This window comes from Homo sapiens, chromosome 17 (genome assembly GCF_000001405.40).
Source record: "Homo sapiens chromosome 17, GRCh38.p14 Primary Assembly".
Classification (NCBI taxonomy): Eukaryota; Metazoa; Chordata; class Mammalia; order Primates; family Hominidae; genus Homo; species Homo sapiens.
In genome coordinates, this window is record NC_000017.11 from 40,100,824 (window position 1) to 40,120,212 (window position 19,389).

Consider the following 19,389-nt stretch of genomic DNA (forward strand, 5'->3'; position numbering starts at 1 on the left):
ACTGCGTGCCTTTCCCCTTTCTGCCTGGCAAAGCGCTTGCCGGGACCTGGGAGGAGCTGAGAGTGGGGTGGGGTGGGGTGCGCTGAAGAGTCAGGGTGGCGTGTTTAGAAAGCCTGTATGGCAGGGGCATGTGAATTTCTGGGGAGGGACTGGCAAGCTTGTTTGCTGTCTGGGAGATCAAAGCTAAGAGGCCCTTTCTGCAAACCTTGCAAACGTGAGGGCTTCACGTGATTGCAGGACTGACCTCGTCCTGAGGTTACTGGTGACCGGGAGAGAGAGAAGCCGGGGAGGGAGATTTCCCTGGAGTCAGGAGCTTAGGCTGCCCTCTGCTTCAGGGCAAAGTCCAGAGAAGGAAAGGAAATGTGACCCCCTTTCCCTTCTACTCGCCTTAGGGAGAACACCTCCAGGGGAAGGAGTTCCCACAGAGGTAGGGATGTCTGTAGGGACTCCCTGTTTGCTTGTATGACACCATTCCACCCACTCCAGTTGACTTTGGGGTGAGTCATTTCCCTTTGTCTGGGAAATAAAAAGGACAACAGAGGGGAACTAATAGTGAAAGTGCTTTGAGGTCCTAAAGTAATGGGGAAGAGGTGAGGCAGGGGGTGGGGGCAGAGTGACACCCCTGCCCCTCGGTGCTGGAGGATAAAATATGAATTCCACAGAAGATTACTACTCAGAGGGGAACATGTAGATCATCTTAAGCCTCCCTCTTTTTACTAGTGGGGAACAGGAAGCTTAGGAGAAGTGACCGACCCAAGGTCAGACGTCCATTGCTAGTTTCATCTGCCCACCCCGAATGGGAAGGTGGGTAGATGTACAAGTGAAATACTGAACAGGGGTTAGAAACAGCCAGCATTGCCGGGTGCTTTGGCTCATGCCTGTAATCCCAGCACTTTGTGAGGCTGAGGTGGGTTGATCACCTGAGGTCAGGAGTTTGAGACCAGCCTGACCAACACGGTGAAACCACGTCTCTACTAAAAATACAAAAATTAGCCGGATGTGGTGGTGGGTGCCTGTAATCCCAGCTAGTCAGGAGGCTGAGGCAGGAGAATCGCTAGAACCCGGGAGGTGGAGGTTGCAGTGAGCCGAGATCGCCATTGCACTCCGGCCTGGGGGATAGAGTGAGACTCTGTCTCCAAAACAAACAAACAAAAAACAGCCAGTATTTCGCTTCAGAGCAGCAACTGTCCCATGAGTAATAACAGATCTCAAGTAGAGGAGATCTATCATGTTAGAGGGCTTGGGTCATGGAGGGGATGGAAGCTTCTTAGGCAGCGAAGGGAGAGGGAGCCTGAGCCACCTGCTGCTCCCGCTAATTCCTCCCCAGTCCCAGTGCTTCTAGAGAGGGTTTTCTTCACATAGGAAGCCCTTCTCCACAGGCAGCTCCTGGGATGGTATTGATGGATGCCTGGGAAACATGAAAGCCACCGAAAAGGTAGAGAAAAAGAATATGGGAGTCCGGGGGTGGTGGCTGACACCTGTAATCCCAGCATTTTGGGAGGCTGAAGTGGGCAGATCACCTGAGGTCAGGAGTTCGAGACCAGCCTGGCCAACATGGTGAAACCCCATCTCTACTAAAAATACAAAAATTAGCTGGGCGTGGTGGCGCACGCCTGTAGTCCCAGCCACTCGGGAGGCTGAGGCAGGAGAATTGCTTGAACCCAGGAGATGGAGATTGCAGTGAGCCGAGATCATGCCACTGCACAACAGCCTGGGCAACAGGGTGAGAGTCCATCTCAAAGAAAAAAAAAAAAGGCCAAGTGTGGTGGTGGCTCACACCTGTAATCCCAGCACTTGGGGAGGCCGAGGCAGGTGGATCACCCGAGGTCAGGAGTTTGAGACCAGCCTGGCCAACATGGAGAAACCTCGTCTCTACTAAAAATACAAAAATTAGCTGGGCGTGGTGGCGCACGCCTGTAGTCCCAGCTACTCTACTCGGGAGGCTGAGGCAGGAGAATTGCTTGAACCCGGGAGGCAGAGGTTGCAGTGACCTGAGATCGCGCCAGTGCACTCCAGCATGGGCAACAAGACCGAAACTCCATCTCAAAAAAAGAAAAAAAAAAAAAGAATAATAATATGAGCACAGGAGTAAACTGGGTAGTGAGGACAGTGAGGTTGACTGCAGGAGCTTGACCACTCACCCTCTGACTCCTTGTAGAAGATGAGCTTCCTGGAATGGGCTAGGCTTTAGCTTTGTTCTCCTGCTCCCAAGAAAAGTGGGAGAGAGAGGGCAGTGGGCTCTTCTCTGGCCCTTTGGCCCAGAGTTGGGAAGCTGCAGCAGAGTGTGGGAGCAACTGGGAGGGGCTAAAACAAACAAGGAAAGAGGCTTTTCAGGAAAACTTGGTTCTCAGCCTCCACCCCCTCTCCCTCCACCCTCTGGGCTCTGGAGGGAAAGCTAGGAGGTGAATTGCCCTGTCCTGCCCTTGCCTGCTCTCTGTGACCTTGACTCCAAGTCAGAGCCAGGGCCAGAGCCCAGGTGTCTGTCAGGGCTGGACTCAAAATCAGGACCCCTGGCGTGCATCTAGCTCCCCACAGCACAGCACCACCACTAGCACCCTCCCTTTACTTGGCCGGGGTCCTCCCCAAGGCCCACAGCTCTGTTTGCTGCTGTGGAGGTCCTACCCACCCCCTGTATACTTGCTGGATGTTTGTTCTTCTAGGAGTGGGAGCTGGGGTGGGTCAAGACTCCTCGCCTGCTGCAATCAGTGAGAAGGAGGAGGGAGCAGAGGTAGAGAGAGCTGAAATTCAGTCAGCCTGACTCTCCTCTTGGCAAAACCTGGGTGGTTCTGCAGTCTGTGTGTGGTGTGAAGGCAGAGGCTGGGAGGGAGGGGGCAAAGGAGAGGGGTTACCCCCTTGCTCCTTCCTTCCTTCCTTTCCATTTCTTATAGGGCCCTTCCTTTTCTCCCTCACAAGTAATTCGGGTGTCTTTCTTCTACAGCTGGTGAGAGGAGTACAGAATGAAAAGGCAGGGTTCTCTCTTGGCCCCAGAAGCTTCTAGTCAGTCTGTGTACCCTGCTCCTTTCTCTGTCAGCAGCTGCTGGGAGAAGGGCAGAAACTCTGAGACCCAAAGCCACCAAAGGGAGGGGGGAAAGGCTGGGTTGTCTGGCTCTGGGTGATTCGGAGTAGAATCTTGGTTTCTCTTTGACCTCAACCTTGGCTGTAAGACCTTAAGACAACAGGTGTATCTCAACACAACCTTCCTCACCTATCCCTCCAGCTGGACATTGCTGTTCACTTCTTTTTTTTTTTGAGACAGAGTCCCACTCTATCGCCCAGGCTGGAGTGCAGTGGCTCACTGCAACCTCCACCTTCCGGGTTTAAGCCATTCTCCTGTCTCAGCGTCCCAAGTTGCTGGGACTGCAGGAGCACGCCACAATGCCTGGCTAATTTTTTTTATATTTTTAGTAGAGATGGGGTTTCACCATATTAGTCAGGCTGGTCTTGAACTCCTGACCTAAGGTGATCCACCCACCTCAGCCTCCCAAAGTGCTGGGATAGCAGGCGTGAGCCACCATGCCCGGCCTGCTGTTCACTTCTACACACACACACACACACCCCATTTCTCCCATAGCCCAGTTCAACTCAAGAAAGCACTTAACTCTTCATAAATAGTACTCAGATTGGATCCAGGTAGAAAAGATGCATATTCACAACCTGGTACAGCAAGGCACTGCCCTGGTTCTGCATACACTTCCACTTGGATTCCCAAGTCTGGGATTCTGGGGACGAACCTTCCCATTAGGGGCAGTGTTGGATCCTGCCTGTGTGTTTCCAAATATGTCTTTAATTTTCCTTGATTTATTTGGACTGCAGAGGACAGCAGACACAGAGGAGAAGAAGGAAAGGTATTGAGAACACTAAGCTCTGGTCAGTTATGTATGTGTGCACGTGTGTGTGTGTGTGTGTGTGATTCTATGACTATGAGTGAGACTGCATGTTTGTGTGTGAGTGTGAATGCTGTGTGTGTGGGTGTGCATGTTTGATCTGAGATCTGTTCTCCCTGTCAGTAGGTTGTTCTGGGTAACAGGGCAACACCCTGTGCAAATTCTGGGTGGCCTAAATCTTGGGCCAACTGCTTGACTGACTGACTGACTGACTGACTGACTGACTGAGGGTGGGTCCTTGCTGGAAACAGGTCAGGCTTCTGTAGATGCCTTCCCATCCCCCTCCTTTCTCACCAAGAAACCATTGCCCAGAGTAGAAACCTGTCTGCCCAGGTGATGCAAACCTGGTATAGAAATGCTGGGGATGCCCCTGAATCAGGGAACCAGCCATGTGCCTGGGAGAGACTCACTCCCTGCCCTCCTAAATCCTTTTCTTTGTCTCTAAAAGGCCAGCTATCTTTCCCAACCCCACCCAAAGCCTGGATGTTTTGGGGAGAACTTTAAGAACATGCCACAGGAAGGACAGAGTCTGAGCTAACTTGTTTCTCAGTGTGGTGGGGGGAGGGGGATGGAGAAAGCAAGGGCGAGGCATGAGCCAGGGCTGGGTTCCATGGATGTGTTTTGCCTCAGATTCTATCTTTACCTCACTACTGCTTTTTCCAAGGAAAGGAAACCATAAATATGTATTAAGTACCAACCGTATGCCAGGCACTGTGCAAAGTGTTTTGTACACATTATCTCATTTAATATTCACAACAACCCTATGCTGTAGGTCTCATTCTTATTTTAGAGATGGGGAAACTGAGACTTAGAGAACTTTATTAACTTGCCCAGGGTGCCAGAGGGTCTAGGTGATTAGTCTTGAAGCTGTAATTTGCATAGCACTTAAGACTGAGAAGATGTCCATCAAAGAATGATAGCGCGGATGGAGATTATTGGAGGGGCTAAATCTCCCCTCTAGCTATCTCTTGAACTACCACTGTCAGCGTCACAATGAAAATGGCAATGCTGGGGATTCAACCCCAGGCGTGAAGATGAAACTCTTTCTGCTAGCAAGACTGCCCCTCCTAGAGAGATTACTGCCACCCTAGGGGAACGTCTGAGCAGCAAACTCATCCTGGTGTTTCCCAAGCAATGGTGATGCTTGGAAGTGGGATATATCACCAAGAACAGAAGCCTGAAGCACCCCTTGTCCCTGTCCCAGGGAGTACCTCAGCTTTCCAAAATCTCTCTTTTAACCCCAGGCACATTTCCTCTTCCCCTAAACTCTTCCCACTCCCCGTCCTACATTTCCCTCATCTGGTTCTAAAAGTAGAAGGGGCAGGAACAGGGTGCACAAACCACAGACTGCTATAGAGGTGACTAACAGAAACAGGCGTCTGAACTCTCTTCTCTACCCAAACCCTCTGAATTTGGGGTCTGCTGCTGGTGGTGAGGAGAGTGGGGCAAGTAGGTCAGGGCCCTCTGAAGTCCCATGGTGCTTCATTCCAGGAGCTGTATTAAGAAGATTGGTTGAGGGAGCGTGTGGAAGGCCACCAAGGACCAACAAAAGTTGTGTCCAAAGCCTTAAGGAAACAGCATCCCACTTCCCCATTTACCTGCTTGAGCAACGTGCACCTCTAAAACCAGCCCTTCCGAAAGCCACTGTCCTGGGCCAATGCTTCTTCAGCAGATGCTTTGAAGAACCTGAAGAAGGGTCCCCTCTCTCAGAACCTAGGATCTCACCCACATCACAGGATCCTGGAGGAGGCATGGATTGTCCTTGGCAGTGGAGACTAAGCCCCAGATGACCCTTTTTCTGGCATCCAGTACATGCTCTGCTAAGGCCTCCTGTCCAATCTTTGCCATGCTGCTGGAGCCACAGTGGTATCATCTTCCAGGCCCCTGCACCTGCCCATTGGCTGCCCTTGAGCCTCTGTAGAACTCAGATGCAGGGAGAATGTGGGGGAGGTGGAGGAAAGGGAGAGGGGGTGCTCTGCATCTGCTTCCATCTCTACCCTTTATCCCAAGCTCCATCTCAAACCCTCTCCTTATCCAGTGTCTCTCCATCCTTTGGGCCTCTGCAGATCACCATTAGCTGCCTGGGGAGGCCAGAGGCTCATGACAGTCCTCGTGAGCAGAATGGACCTCGGAGGAGCGGTGGCCTGGGCAGGCATTAGGGGCCTTGTGTAGCTTCTGGGAGGCTTACATAAACACTGGCTGGGATGGGGAGGAAAGGGGGGTTGCAATGGCTGCCCAGGGAAAAAAGCAACCCCCGCCCGGCCGGCTCAGCCTGAGTGGAAAGAAGGAACAAGGCTTACTTTCCCTCCTCTCACTCCTCTCCCCTGGTCTGCAGCTGTTAGTCGGGCTGGAAAGACTGCGGTATCTTGGGGGAGGGGGGGCAGGAGAAGGAGAGAGAGAGGATGCGACTTCACAAATTTGGGATCCCTCCTCCTCTTCTAAATTGGGGGGAGGGCGAGTGGGGAAGAAGCAGTTTGCCAAAGAGATTTTCAATGCCGCAGGAAGGAGCTTTGGCTCATTAGAATGCGCAGTTTGCACCCTGGAAAAAAAAAATCTGTGCTGGTTGCAAAAATGCAGACGTGTGTAGGGGCCCAGCGGAGATTAAAAAAAAAAAAAAAAAGCGCTAGCTCTGCAATGCAGGATCTGCGAAGTTTTGGTGCGATGAGGAAATGTGGGTCGTGCTCATTTCATTTGCTTGTTCCTGCTAACCTACTGTCCCCCTGACTCTAGCATAGTCTCATAGCCCAGCAAGAGGCACCGCAGCTTAGAAATGGGGTCACGAGTAGGGGGCAGAAGCAGAGAGCCAGAAGTGGGGGTCTGTGGTTAGAGTGCCCAGAGAAGGACCAATGGAGGTTAGAGGGCCAGGCAGATGGAAGGGGGCACTTCAATGAGGGATGGAGGCTGAATTTGCCTTTTGCACACGCATTTGTTCTGCAGCTACACAGGGGTTATTGGGAAAGCCCTTCTAGGTTTCCTCCAGCCCTCGGCTCTTCCCCATCTCCAAGTAGCAGAGGGACTTTCCCCTTCCGGTCCACTAACCTCACAGACCACTGTTGCAGAACCTTTGCTTCATGTCCCCAAACACACAAATCCCTGAACTGTCCTTGTTCTAACCCTGGAGGGGGCACTTGCTGCGTGTGTGTGTCATCCTCCTTCCTAGAAAGAGGGGACAGGGTAGCCTGATTTGGGGAGCCCAGGCTACAGGGAAGCCAAGTCTTGGCTCTGGGCAGACATCAACACATCACCATGAGGGCTGGGGTGGGCTGTTCTGTGTTCTTGGCTTGGGAAGGTCCTTTGTTCTTTTGAGGCTTAGGGTTCTGGGTTGTGAAAACACCAAGGGGCTGCCTGGGAGGAAAATATGCTTGGGGAGACCATGTTTCTTTTCTGGGTGTTTGCTCCCCTGGTGGCTCAGGAGAGACAAAAGGAGACAGAAGCAGGATAAAGCGCAAGGAGACAAGAAGGGAGCCCCGCGCGCTTTCCCTCCTTCCTCATCTTGCCTCCTGTTTCTCTGGCCCACGGAGGAAGGGGCCCAGTGTGTTTGTGCCGGCTCGAGGCTCACGCGGGCTGCCGGGGTCACATGGCCCGGGCATGTGCAGCCTGCTCCATTTCTACCACAACAACTCGCTCATAAACAGCCCGGCTGCTGCGGCGGTGGCGGTGGAGACATGTGCAAGCGAGGGGGTGGGGCACGTGGCCCTGCCCGAGCCAAGGGAAGGCGCTCGCTCAGCACTGCCTCCACCCCTCCCCAGCACTGGCGCTGCCTCGTCACAGGAAATTCCTAGTGCTCCTGTTGCTGCTGCAAAACATGTTTTGGGGAAGTGACTTTCAATAAGGATGGAATCAATGGACTATTTAAAAAGAGACAGAATGGATAATCAGTTAGAGACCGACTTACGCCTGCCCTTACCCTCTCTTAAGATCTCTGTACTGGTTAGGGTGGTACCAGTTCCTTCCTCCTATATAAAATTGGAACCATGTAATCCCAGCACTTTGGGAGGCCAACGTGGGCGGATCATTTGAGGTCAGGAGTTCGAGACCAGCCTGGCCAACATGGTGAAACCCCATCTCTACAAAAAATAAAAAAAAATTAGCCAGGCATGGTAGTGGGCGCCTGTAATCCCAGCTACCTGGGAGGCTGAGGCATGAGAATCGCTTGAACCCGGGAGGCGGAGGTTGTAGTGAGCCGAGATCATGCAACTGCACTCCAGCCTGGGCAACAGAGCGAGGCCCTGTCTCAAAAAAAAAAAAAAAATGGAACCAATCAAGTCCTCATGGTAAACAGTGGGGGGAGGGGCTGGGGTTCTCTAAGACAGTGGTTCTCAAGATAAGCATAGGGATCTGGGGTCACCTGGGAACATGTTAGAAATGCAAATTCCCAGGCCCCATCCCAGGTGGATTGAATCAGAAGCTCTGGGAGCAAAACCCAGCAATCTGAGTTTTAACAAGGCCCTTGGGATTCTGGGAAGCCTGAGACCCACTGCTTTAGGTCTTCGGTCCCTAACAATCAGTCCTCTAGGAGAATCTAGCCCAAGATCTGGGGACATGTCAGCTGGGCGTGGTGGCTCATCCCTGTAATCCCAGCACTTTGGGAGGCTGAGGCAGGCGGATCACTTGAGGCCACGCATTGGACACCAGCCTGGTCAACATGGTGAAACCCCGTCTCTACAAAAAAATACAAAAATTAGCCGGGTGTGGTGTGTGCCTGTAATCCCAGCTGCTCAGGAGGCTGAGGCAGGAGAATTCCTTGAACTGGGAGGTGGAGGTTACCATGAGCCAAGATCACACACTGCACTCCAGCCTGGGCGACAGAGTGAGACCCTGTCTCAAAAAAAAAAAAAAAAAAAAAGATCTGGGGGCATGTCTACCTTCCCCCTTTGTGCTGCTTCATCTCAAAGTCCAGCCACAGGGCGTAATCAGATTTAGTTTGACTCAGAGTAAAAAGCATTTATTGAGTGCCTCCTGTGTGCAGATTCTGGAAATGCGGGCAAATGGCACAACAGTAGTAGGCTAATGAGTAGCTGAGATCTCAAAGAGGAGTGGAAGGTACTGGGTGAGGGGAGAGTGAAAGAAAGAAAAGGTTAGAATTTTATTTGTTTATCCTTTCTCCATCTTACCTACTTTTCTTCCTGTCCCGAGGCTCCTATTAGAACAAATGATTGTGGCTTAAATTGTTTTGAGGCTGGAGGTAGAAATTAAGCCCTTATCTATTTTTGCTGGCCATGGGGACCCCAAGTTAGTTAACAGCCATAGGCTCTTGACTTCCCATGAGTAACTAAAAGAAGATGAGGACCATGCACACAGGCACACACAAACACTCCCTGCGATCTCAGATGCTAGGGTAGGGAGACCAAGAGAAGGAATGAAGTCCCAGAAGGTTGGAAGTTCCCTGGGTAAAATGAGTTTAGCAGATAACAAGCAGGAAAAGTCTTTCAATAGGGGAGGGCGGGGTCATCCCTGGCCTACTCCACCTTCCTGAGACCCAGAAACTGTGGCCAGAGGAAACAAAGGGTCCCTAAGGCAAATCACAAAAGCTCCTGAGAATGAAACCTGAGCCTGGAAAGAGAGTAGAGAATGAGGGATGGACACCAGATCCAAAGGGTTCCCTTACACAGGCAAATGGGGGTTAGGGGGTTGGGAGGGATGTGAGCCATGCCCAGCCCCTCTCCTTGGGCCTTCTCTCCATCACAGGCAGTTCTCAGGAGCAGAACTCCTGTTACTGTCTCAGTCTGAGCAGCTGACTCCTGGCCTCTCCCTGCTTCATTTTTTGAGGAATAAGCTTTTCTCTGATTCTCACAGAGCCCTTTCTTTTGCTTCTCTGCAAGGCTTTCTCTCTGTGCCTGAAAGGCTCTGGGCTCAAGGAGCAGACAGCCCTGCAGGCTCAACTGCAGTGACCTACATTGGCTCTCCCCTAGGCCCTGGGTGCGGGGGCTGAGATTTCAAGATAGGAACCTGGGAATCTGGCACAGGTCTACAGATGATGACATCAGGCAGACAGGCTGCAAAAGTGGCATTGAGGGACTGGACCCTGAGGCAGGGGATGCCATAGGACTATGTTCTCACTTTGTCATTTGAGGGCTTTTTATGGACAAGAGATCAGAAGAGATCAAATGCAAAAACACCTGAGCAGTGACCCCTTGGAGAGGAGCCAGTGGTCCCTGACAGGCCCAGTCTCTATTAATGAGATTTGGGAGTGGTTTCTGCCTGCTCCCTGTTCTTGCTGAACCTACACTGGTCTGCTGCAGGGGACTGGAAAGATGATGTGGAAGAATGAGTTCGGATTTCAGCTGATTTATTTCAGGGAAACGAAGGCTGGGTAAAAGTCAGATATGCAGAAATCCACGTACTCCCAGGCTTAACTATAATATAGAGACCCTGTATTTCTTTAGACTCAATGGTTCTGAGAAGGATCCAGAAGGAGCCCTCAAGATTAATTACCATTTACAAAGTCCTTACCTCAGGACCCTGGCAACTGAATCCCTCCTTCCAGCTACCAGCCTTCTGGAACAGAGAAGGCAGCTTCTGAAATAGGTGCTTTCCCTCTCTCCCACTATAAGCCACAGTGTTTAGGATGACCACTGCTTCCAGATTGTGTGATTTGCCCTGGCAAGGAAATCCTATTGTGGGGGGAGGAAATGAGGCAGTCGTGACACAAAGTGATGGATGAGCCTTTTGCTTAGCAGAGAGAGAGAGAAAGCCGGCAGGCTGTGCAGAACTGAGTGGCTCTTGGGTCCAAAGGGCTTCCCCTTGGCCAAGTCCCACCCCAAAGCCCAGGAAGTCCACAGCTTGGCGCCCAGTCAAGGCAAAAACATTCCTCAGGACTCTGACAGGCTGGGGGATGGTTCCCACCACGAGGATGGGGGAGGGGAAGGAAACACGCGGGGGAGGAAATGACCACAAAGAAGGGGGTGAGGGTAAGAGGTGGGGAGTGAGTTCTCAGTGCCCTGAGTCCCTTTTAGAGAGAAAGGTTGAGGCTGGACTCATTGGCTTGTGAAGGACTTGCAGCTTCAGAGCACATGACTTCTGGGTCACCCTTCTGCTCAGGGTCATCCCTGATGACCCAAGGTGTCCTCTGGAGGCTTGTTAACTCAATCTCCCTCCTTACGCAGGGGCTGTGGTTGAGCTTGGGAGCCCCTGAGTGGCTAAAAGCTGGAATTGCAGTTGTGCTGGGGGAGGAGCCCATCGGGTCTCCCTCTGCCTCTCCACCTCCGCCCCTCCCTTTCCCTCTCCCTAAGCCCAGGACTCTGGAAATAGCACCTGGTAATGGGAGCGCTGACAGATGCTGAGTTATAGGAGAGCAAATGTCCTGGCTAGAGTCCTCAACATTCTAGTTTGATCGCTTTTGGGCTGTTTCCCTTGAAAACACGTGCCCCAGCAAGGATTGAAAAACTACCTATTGGTACTATGCTCACTACCTGGGTGACAGGTTCAGTCATACCCCAAACTTCACCATTACACAATATACCCTTGTAACAAACCTGCATATGTACCCCCTGAATCTAAAATAAAAGTTGAAATACACACACGGAAAAATAGGTGCCCCAGGACTACTTCCATTGTCTTCCATAAATTACTGTTTAACATGCCCCTGGGTAGTGTGCTTCCTGGCTACTGAGATCCCCCTCCTAGGGCTCCCCGGCTTGTAGCTTCTGGACCATTCACTGTCCATGACCCCTATGACCTTGGAGGGAGAAATGGCCCCACAATAATTCTGATTTTAAATTTACCCCTCCCTACCTGCACTACTTAGTCCTAGTTTTCCTCCTCTGAGCCTTGCCCACAACTCCTTCCCCAAGTCAGCCTCCAACCTTGAATGTTCCCTCACCCCCAGTTCCCTACCCAATCCCCCAATCCCACATCTCCTGTAGGGGATAGGAGTGAGGTGAAAAATGGACAAAGCTTAGAAATTTTTCCAAGGAAACTAGTTCCCTCTGCATGGCTTCCTTTGACCTATTTTCTAACTTTCCCTGGTTAGCCCCCTTGTTCCATGTACCAAGGCTTCCCACTGGACTAATTTTTGCTGCCCCGCCCTACTCCTCCTTCCTCCAACATGATCTCCTGGGGCTCTTCCCATCCAGGGAAAATGTTCCCCAGTGCTGAGAGAGGGAGAGATTCCATTTTGGAAACTATGTCAGCTTGAGGAGTCCGAGCTCTTAAAGAGACAACTAGAGTGTTGCTGGGGAAGCGGGTAGTGGTAGTGAGCAAAAAGCAGCTCACCCACCCAGAGGAGGCCCTGTTCCCATCACCCAGCCCATAATTAGGGCATTCTTGGCTCTTGTCTGGAATGGGAGGATCTGAGTGCTCTGCCAACATCATGAAGAACTCAACGGGAAATGGAGTTGGAGTAGAGGTAACCAACTTTGCAGCTGGAAATTAAAATTTTATTCAACTCCACCCCCAAGTAATTTTATTTGATGACATCCTTCTCTTGCATTTGTCTCATCGTTTGATTGTGTAATCCTTAGCCAGGGAGCTATGTAGATATGAAATCATTTTAAACAGAGGCAGCTGCATTCCCCTATTGTACCTGAGCCCTCATCAGCTTTCCTCCTCTCAAGCTGCTGCCCCACATTCACCCTGAAGGGGGCACTTTTGTTCAGTCGTTAGCTGGTGCCAGCTGAAAGCGAGCTCCAGGAAGGAAACATAACAATTGGTCACATGTTGGGGTGAGGGTTCTCGCAGGGGCTGCTGGGACAGGGAAGGGAGGTCCACGTGGAGTGGGCGGAACGCGCTGAAAGTTTTGGCGGGGCTAGCAGAGGGAGAAAAATACCCAAATTTGAGTTGTGATTTTTAATAGGGGGAAAAAAAAAAGGCAAGGAGGGTGTGTCCTACCCTCTGAGAGGCCCCCGCAGAGGGGAGCAGGAGAGCAGCACACTAGCATCCTGCTCGCGGAAGCCTGGAACGCAGGACATGGTTTCTGCCAGAAAGAGCTGAGCCAGGCCAGGCTGCGGAGCTGGAAGCCTCTGTGGCTCCACGCTGGCTTCCCATCCCCCATCCTCCCGGAGAAGGCAAAGGTGGCCTCTCCAACTGTGGTGTCCTTTCAGTGTCACAGGACTGGGGTAATACCAGTCACACAACTCCAGTCTCTATTTACCTTTCCGAGAGCTTCAGGAAACCACCCAGATGAATCCTCTTTCCCTGGGGAGTGGCCAAAACAAGTCTCCTCTTTTTTCTACCTACTTCTGCCCCACTGTTAGCTGGAAAACGTAGCTTTATACAGTCATAAAGCTGCAAGGGACCTTAAAGATGATTTATTTCCATTTTATTTTTTGGTCTGGGAAAACCAAGCCCAGTCAAGTGAAAAGTCTTGCTGCATCCTCTTTCCACGACATAGGCATTCCCTTCAAAGAATGTAGGTCATAGAAATGGAATTCTGCCATTCTATAAGCCTTAGAGGGGTGGTGAAAGTATTGGCTTTTAACTCTTTCCATACTCTTAGCCAGAAGGCAAAAAGAATGGTCATTATCTCATTAGGGACAGAATTGCTTAGGGAGGCCCGACACTGTGGCTCAATCCGGACACGGTGACTATAATCCCAGCATTTTGGGAGGCTGAGGTGGGCGGATCACCTGAGGTCAGGAGTTCGAGACCAGCCCGGCCAACATGGTGAAACCCCCGTCTCTACTAAAAATACAAAAATTAGCCGGGCATGGTGGCAGGCGCCTGGAATCCCAGCTACTCGGGAGGCTGAGGCAGAAAAGAATTGCTTGAACCCAGGAGGTGGAGGTTGCAGTGAGCCGAGATTGCACCACTGCACTGTCCAACCTGGGTGACAGAGCAAGGCTTCGTCTCAAAAAAAAGAAAAAAAAAAAAGACTTAAGGACTTGATTTATGGTCCTAAACACAGTTTTCCTAGGCTCCCTCACAGCTGGCAACTCCACTTTGCCCCTCTGGGCCTTTGAGAGCTCCCTTCTTTACATTTCTTAGTTCAGGGATCACCACAGCTTAAAACTTAATGGTTTGGAAACAAGAATTCCTTTCCCTTCTTAGAAGACCTTCTCTTCTCAGGTTTCAGTTTTCTGGTGGTTTAGCCAGGTCATCCTGTGTATTGAGATCAAGATCAGACCTCCAATCCAAAAATTCCAGCTTTGGCTTTGGTGGGGAAAAGCATGTTTACTTAGTCTGGAGCAGTGAAATCCTAGACTTTGGATTTCAGAGCTGTAAAGTTTCCAGAAAAAAAAAATGTTGAGACCAGGCACAGTGGCTCATGCTTGTAGTCCCAGCACTTTGAGAGGCCAAGGCGGATGGGTCACTTGAGCCCAGGAGTTTGAGACCAGCCTGGGCAACATGGTGAGGCCCCATGTCATGTAAAAATTAGCCAGGCATGGTGGTGCATACCTGTAGTACCGGTGACTCAGGAGGCTGAGGTAGGAGTATCACTTGAGCCTGGGAGTTCGAGGTATGATAATGTCTGTGAACAGCTACTGGACTCCAGCCTGGGCAACACAGCCAGACCCCGTTTAAAAAAAAAAGTCAACCAACCCCAGTTGTAGAGTCCCAAGCAGTGGTTCTCAAACTTGAAGTACATCAGAATCACCTGGAGGGCTTGTTAAAACACCACGTGCTGCATCTCACCCCACAGTTTCTTATTCATTAGGTCTAAGGTGGGAAGCCAAGAATTTGCATATCTAACAAGTTTCCAGGTGATACTGAAGGTGCTGGCCTGGAACCACAATTGGGCTAGAGAGGAAGAAAACATATAATTTATTCATGGAATTGCCAGCTGGTTAGTCTTAGAAATTTGACGGTAAAGCCCTCCTTCTCCCTCACCCCACTTTCTATTGATCAACAAATGCTGCCAATTAGTAATAATGTGATAACTACATTATCAAGCATTACTAGGTGCCACATGCTATGATAAACATTTTACATGGATTATCTCATTTAATCCTCACAATAACCCTGTGAAGTAAGGTATTAGTATAGTCATTTTACAGATAAGCAACCTGAGGTAGAGGTTAAATAACACACAGCCACTAAACGGGAGAACTGTGATTGCTATTTGCAGTTTCACACCAGAAACTTTGCTCTTAACAGCTGAGTCTCCTCCTGTCATTCCCTCTATATCCCCATACTACTAGTATCTTAACCACTCATCATCTCACACCTGCACTAACAGCCTTCAAGTTGGCCTCCGGCTTTTGGTGCAGAGACGCAAATATTGAAGTTAGCTTTCAGATACACAAATCTAATCATTCTATACTTTGGTGGAAATCCTCTGATGTTTCACCAAGGCTGATAAATTATACATTCCTTAACTGGGCCTTCAGACCTTCATAATCTGGTCTCAATCTGTTTTATCCCCTACATGCCCCACTATCCAGAACTACACTCCAATGAACTTCTCCCATTTTCTACAGTTACATCCTATTTTTTTTTTGAAACGGAGTTGCGCTCTTCTCACCCAGACTAGAGTGCAGTGGTGAGATCTCGGCTCACTGCAACCTCCGCCTTCTGGGTTTGAGTGATTCTCCTGTCTTGCCTTAGCCTCCCTATTAGGAGGGACTACAGGCACATGCCACCACGCCCAGCTAATTTTTTTTTTTGAGACAGAGTCTGTCTCCCAGGCTGGAGTGCAGTGGCGCGATCTCGGCTCACTGCAAGCTCTGCCTCCCAGGTTCATGCCATTCTGCCTCAGCCTCCCAAGTAGCTGGGACTACAGGCGTCTGCCAGTACGCCCAGCTATTTTTTTTAATTTTTAGTAGAGACGGGGTTTCACCGTCTTAGCCAGGATGGTCTTGATCTCCTGACCTCGTGATCTGCCCGCCTCGGCCTCCCAAAGTGCTGGGATTACAGGTGTGAGCCACTGTGCCCAGCTGCAATGTTCTTACCTCTGCCTGAAATGTCCTTTGATCTCAACCTTCAAGGCCCACCTCAGTTGTCACTTCCTCCTTAATTCCTTCCAGATGGTATGTTCAAATTTGTTCCTAGACAAATTTACTCTTCTCTAGGTTTCACTATTTTATTAGAGACAGAGTCTTGCTCTATCAACCAGGCTGGAGTTCAGCAGTGTGATCATAGCTCACTATAACCTCAGCCTCTCGGGCTCAAACAATCCTCCCGCCTTAGCCTCCCAAGTAGCTAGGACTACAGGCATGCACCACAATGCTCGGCTAATTTTTTTTTTTTTTTTTGAGACAGAGCCTCACTCTGCTACCCAGGCTGGAGTGCAGTGACTTGATCTTGGCTCACTGCAACCTCTGCCTCCCAGGTTCAAGCGATTCTCCTGTCTCAGCATCCTGTGTAGCCGAGATTACAGGTGTGCGCCACCACATCTGGCTAATTTTTGTTTGTTTGTTTGTTTGAGATGGGAGTCTTGCTGTGTCGCCCAGGCTGGAGTGCGATGGCACGATCTCGACTCACTGCAACCTCCGCCTCTCAGGTTCAAGCGATTCTCCTGCCTCAGCCTCCCGAGTAGCTGGGATTACAGGCATCCACCACCATGCCCAGCTAATTTTTGCATTTTTAGTAGAGACGGGGTTTCATCACGTTGGCCAGGCTGGTCTCAAACTCCTGACCTCAGGTGATCCGCCTGCCTCGGCCTCCTAAAGTGCTGGGATTACAGGCATGAGCCACCGCACCCGACCAAACGTTATGACCACAAAGGGACTCAAACCCTCAATCTTCTGATCTGAAGTCAGACACCTTATCCATTAAGGCCACACGGTCTCCTACTCTAATTTTTGGATTTTTAGTAGAGACTGGGGGTTTCACCATGTTGGCCAGGCTGGTCTCAAACTCCTCACCTCAAGCGATCTGCCTGCCTCGGCCTCCCAAAGTGCTAGGATTACAGGTGTGAGCCACCAGACCCAGCCATAATTTTTAAATTTTTTGTAGAGACAGGGTCTCACTATGTTGCCCAGGCTTGTCCCAAACGCCTGGCTTCAGGTGATCCTCATGCCTTGGCCTCCCAAAGTGTTGAGATTACAGGCGTGAGCCACCACACCCGGCCCTATTTTTTAATAGAACTGCCACCCTCAGTCAAGCTAAAGGTCAAAGGTAGGTAGATGCTTTCTCTTAATATATCTAAACAGCTCATTTAATCATTTAACCAATATTTATTAAATGCCTACTTTGTGGCAGGTATGGTTCTAGGTGCTGAGGATATGGCAGTAACAAAACATGAAGCAGCCCAGTGCTGTGGCTCACACTTTTAATCCCAGCACTTTGGGAGGCTGAGGCAGGTGGATCTCTCGAGGTCAAGAGTTTGATACCAGCCTGGTCAACATGGCGAAACCCTGTCTCTACTAAAAACACAAAAATTAGCCAGGCGTGGTGGTGCACGCCTGTAATCCCAGCTACTTGGGCAGCCGAGGCAGAACAGTCACTTGAACCTGGGAGGCAGAGGTTGCGGTGAGCCGAGATTACACCACTGCACTCCAGCCTGGGTAAGAGTGAGACTCCGTCTTAAAAAACAAACAAACCCCCCAAAACTATGAAGTTTACATTGTAGTGGGGGAGGATAAGGTAATAAGGTAAATTAGAGGTAATACATGCTAAGGAGAAAAATCAAGCAAAAAAAGGGAAGAGGCGGTTTGGAGAAGGCTGTGAGTATACATAGCGGGGGCCAAAGGTCTCAGCTGACATACAGTAAAGAGCTGAAGGAGGTGAGGGAGGAAGTCATGTGGACATCTGAAGGAAGAGGGATCTAGGTAGAGGGAACAGCAACTGCAAGGGCCTGAAGGGGCCAACAGAAAGGAGTGAATAACAGTAGAAACTAAAGTCAGAGAGCAGTACCAGGGAGCCAGATCCTACAAGCCTTAATGATTTTACTTTTACTCCAAGTGAGATGGGAAGCCATGAGAGGGTTCTGAGTAGAGAAAGATCATGATCTTACTCCCATCTTACCAGGACCACTGTGGCTGCTGAGTAGACTTAAGTGATGGAAGGCAAAGGTTGAAACTGAGAGACCAATTACAGTTACTGCAATTAAAACAAGTGAGATAGGATTGTGTGGCAGAGGCCAGGGTGGAAGTTGTGGAGGTGTTGAGAAACTGTGGGATTTTGGACATACATATACATATATATATATATATATATATATATATATATATATGTATTTTTTTTTTTTTTTGAGATGGAGTCTCCCTCTGTCACTCAGGCTGGAGTGCAGTGGTGGGATCTCGGCTGACTGCAAGCTCTGCCTCCCGGGTTCACCCCATTCTCCTGCCTCAGCCTCCCGAGTAGCTGGGACTACAGGCCCCTGCCACCAGGCTCGGCTAAATTTTTTTTTTTTTTTGAGACGGACTCTCACTCTGTCGCCAGGCTGGAGTGCAGTGGCGCGATCTCGGCTCACTGCAAGCTCTGCCTCCTGGGTTCACGCCATTCTCCTGCCTCAGCCTCCCGAGTAGCTGGGACTACAAGCGCCCGCCACCATGCTTGGCTAATTTTTTGTATTTTTAGTAGAGACGGGGTTTCGCCATGTTAGCCAGGATGGTCTCGATCTCCTGACCTTGTGATCCGCCCACCTCGGCCTCCCAGAGTGCTGGGGTAACAGGCACGAGCCACGACGTCCAGCCTTGGACATACATTTTGAAAGGCAATGGGGTGACAAAGAGAGGAAGACTGGGCTGGGCGCGGTGGCTTACGCCTGTAATCCCAGCTTTGGGTGGCTGAGGTGAGCGGATCATGAGGTCAGGAGTTTGAGACCAGCCTGACCAACATGGTGAAACCCCGTCTCTACTAAAAATACAAAAATTAGCTGGGCATGGTGGTGCATGCCTGTAATCCCAGCTACTCTGGAGGCTGAGGCAGGAGAATCGCTTGAACCCGGGAGGTGGAGAGGTTGCAGTGGGCTGAGATTGTGCCACTGCACTCCAGCCTGGGCAACAGAGCAAGACTCCGTCTCAAAAAAAAAAAAAAAAAAGAGTAAGACTGTAGAAGTGGTATTTGGGTGTTTGGGTGGGAGGAATTCGGGAGCTTGATTTTTAGATGTAAGTTTGAAATACCTAGGCCGGGCGCGGTGGTTCACACCTGTAATCCCAGCACTCTGGGAGGCCGAGGCGGGCAGATCACGAGGTCAGGAGATGAGACCATCCTGACTAACACAGTGAAACCACGTCTCTACTAAAAAATACAAAAAATTAGCCAGGCGTAGTGGCAGGCGCCTGTAGTCCCAGCTACTGGGGAGGCTGAGGCAGAATGGCGTGAACCCGGGAGGAGCTCGCAGTGAGCCGAGATCGTGCCACTGCACTCCAGCACTCCAGCCTGGGCAACAGAGCAAGACTCCACCTCAAAAAAAAGAAATACCTATTAGACATCCAACTGGGTATGTATACTAGACAGTTGGATATATGATTCTGGAGTTAGGGGATGAGTCCAGAAAGAAATATAAATTACGGAGCTGTCAGCGTAGAGATGGTGCAGAAAGTCTTGACGCTGAAGGCTGGGCACAGTGGCTCACTCCTATAATCCCAGCACTTTGGGACGCCCAGGTGGGAGGATCGCTTGAGCGAGTTCAATACCAGCCTGGGCAACAAAGGCTGGTATTACAAAGGCCCGTCTCTAC

The 19,389-nt window shown here is 50.5% G+C and overlaps 10 annotated features.

The window, feature by feature from the left end:
* Positions 12-131: an enhancer, noted in NCBI's record as "active region_12128". NCBI's record gives its function as "activates an Ori minimal core promoter by ATAC-STARR-seq in GM12878 lymphoblastoid cells {active_cell/tissue: GM12878}" and the evidence as "EXISTENCE:reporter gene assay evidence [ECO:0000049][PMID:35858748]".
* Positions 2,139-3,018: an enhancer, noted in NCBI's record as "H3K4me1 hESC enhancer chr17:38259215-38260094 (GRCh37/hg19 assembly coordinates)". NCBI's record gives its function as "activates a minimal SCP1, AML or CMV promoter by ChIP-STARR-seq in primed H9 embryonic stem cells {active_cell/tissue: H9 hESC(primed)}" and the evidence as "EXISTENCE:reporter gene assay evidence [ECO:0000049][PMID:30033119]".
* Positions 5,923-6,552: an enhancer, noted in NCBI's record as "H3K4me1 hESC enhancer chr17:38262999-38263628 (GRCh37/hg19 assembly coordinates)". NCBI's record gives its function as "activates a minimal SCP1, AML or CMV promoter by ChIP-STARR-seq in primed H9 embryonic stem cells {active_cell/tissue: H9 hESC(primed)}" and the evidence as "EXISTENCE:reporter gene assay evidence [ECO:0000049][PMID:30033119]".
* Positions 6,989-7,523: an enhancer, noted in NCBI's record as "H3K4me1 hESC enhancer chr17:38264065-38264599 (GRCh37/hg19 assembly coordinates)". NCBI's record gives its function as "activates a minimal SCP1, AML or CMV promoter by ChIP-STARR-seq in naive and primed H9 embryonic stem cells {active_cell/tissue: H9 hESC(naive and primed)}" and the evidence as "EXISTENCE:reporter gene assay evidence [ECO:0000049][PMID:30033119]".
* Positions 7,524-8,057: an enhancer, noted in NCBI's record as "H3K4me1 hESC enhancer chr17:38264600-38265133 (GRCh37/hg19 assembly coordinates)". NCBI's record gives its function as "activates a minimal SCP1, AML or CMV promoter by ChIP-STARR-seq in naive and primed H9 embryonic stem cells {active_cell/tissue: H9 hESC(naive and primed)}" and the evidence as "EXISTENCE:reporter gene assay evidence [ECO:0000049][PMID:30033119]".
* Positions 9,312-10,252: an enhancer, noted in NCBI's record as "H3K27ac-H3K4me1 hESC enhancer chr17:38266388-38267328 (GRCh37/hg19 assembly coordinates)". NCBI's record gives its function as "activates a minimal SCP1, AML or CMV promoter by ChIP-STARR-seq in primed H9 embryonic stem cells {active_cell/tissue: H9 hESC(primed)}" and the evidence as "EXISTENCE:reporter gene assay evidence [ECO:0000049][PMID:30033119]".
* Positions 12,709-12,928: an enhancer, noted in NCBI's record as "active region_12129". NCBI's record gives its function as "activates an Ori minimal core promoter by ATAC-STARR-seq in GM12878 lymphoblastoid cells {active_cell/tissue: GM12878}" and the evidence as "EXISTENCE:reporter gene assay evidence [ECO:0000049][PMID:35858748]".
* Positions 12,949-13,008: an enhancer, noted in NCBI's record as "active region_12130". NCBI's record gives its function as "activates an Ori minimal core promoter by ATAC-STARR-seq in GM12878 lymphoblastoid cells {active_cell/tissue: GM12878}" and the evidence as "EXISTENCE:reporter gene assay evidence [ECO:0000049][PMID:35858748]".
* Positions 13,039-13,826: an enhancer, noted in NCBI's record as "NANOG-H3K27ac-H3K4me1 hESC enhancer chr17:38270115-38270902 (GRCh37/hg19 assembly coordinates)". NCBI's record gives its function as "activates a minimal SCP1, AML or CMV promoter by ChIP-STARR-seq in naive H9 embryonic stem cells {active_cell/tissue: H9 hESC(naive)}" and the evidence as "EXISTENCE:reporter gene assay evidence [ECO:0000049][PMID:30033119]".
* Positions 13,827-14,612: an enhancer, noted in NCBI's record as "NANOG-H3K27ac-H3K4me1 hESC enhancer chr17:38270903-38271688 (GRCh37/hg19 assembly coordinates)". NCBI's record gives its function as "activates a minimal SCP1, AML or CMV promoter by ChIP-STARR-seq in naive H9 embryonic stem cells {active_cell/tissue: H9 hESC(naive)}" and the evidence as "EXISTENCE:reporter gene assay evidence [ECO:0000049][PMID:30033119]".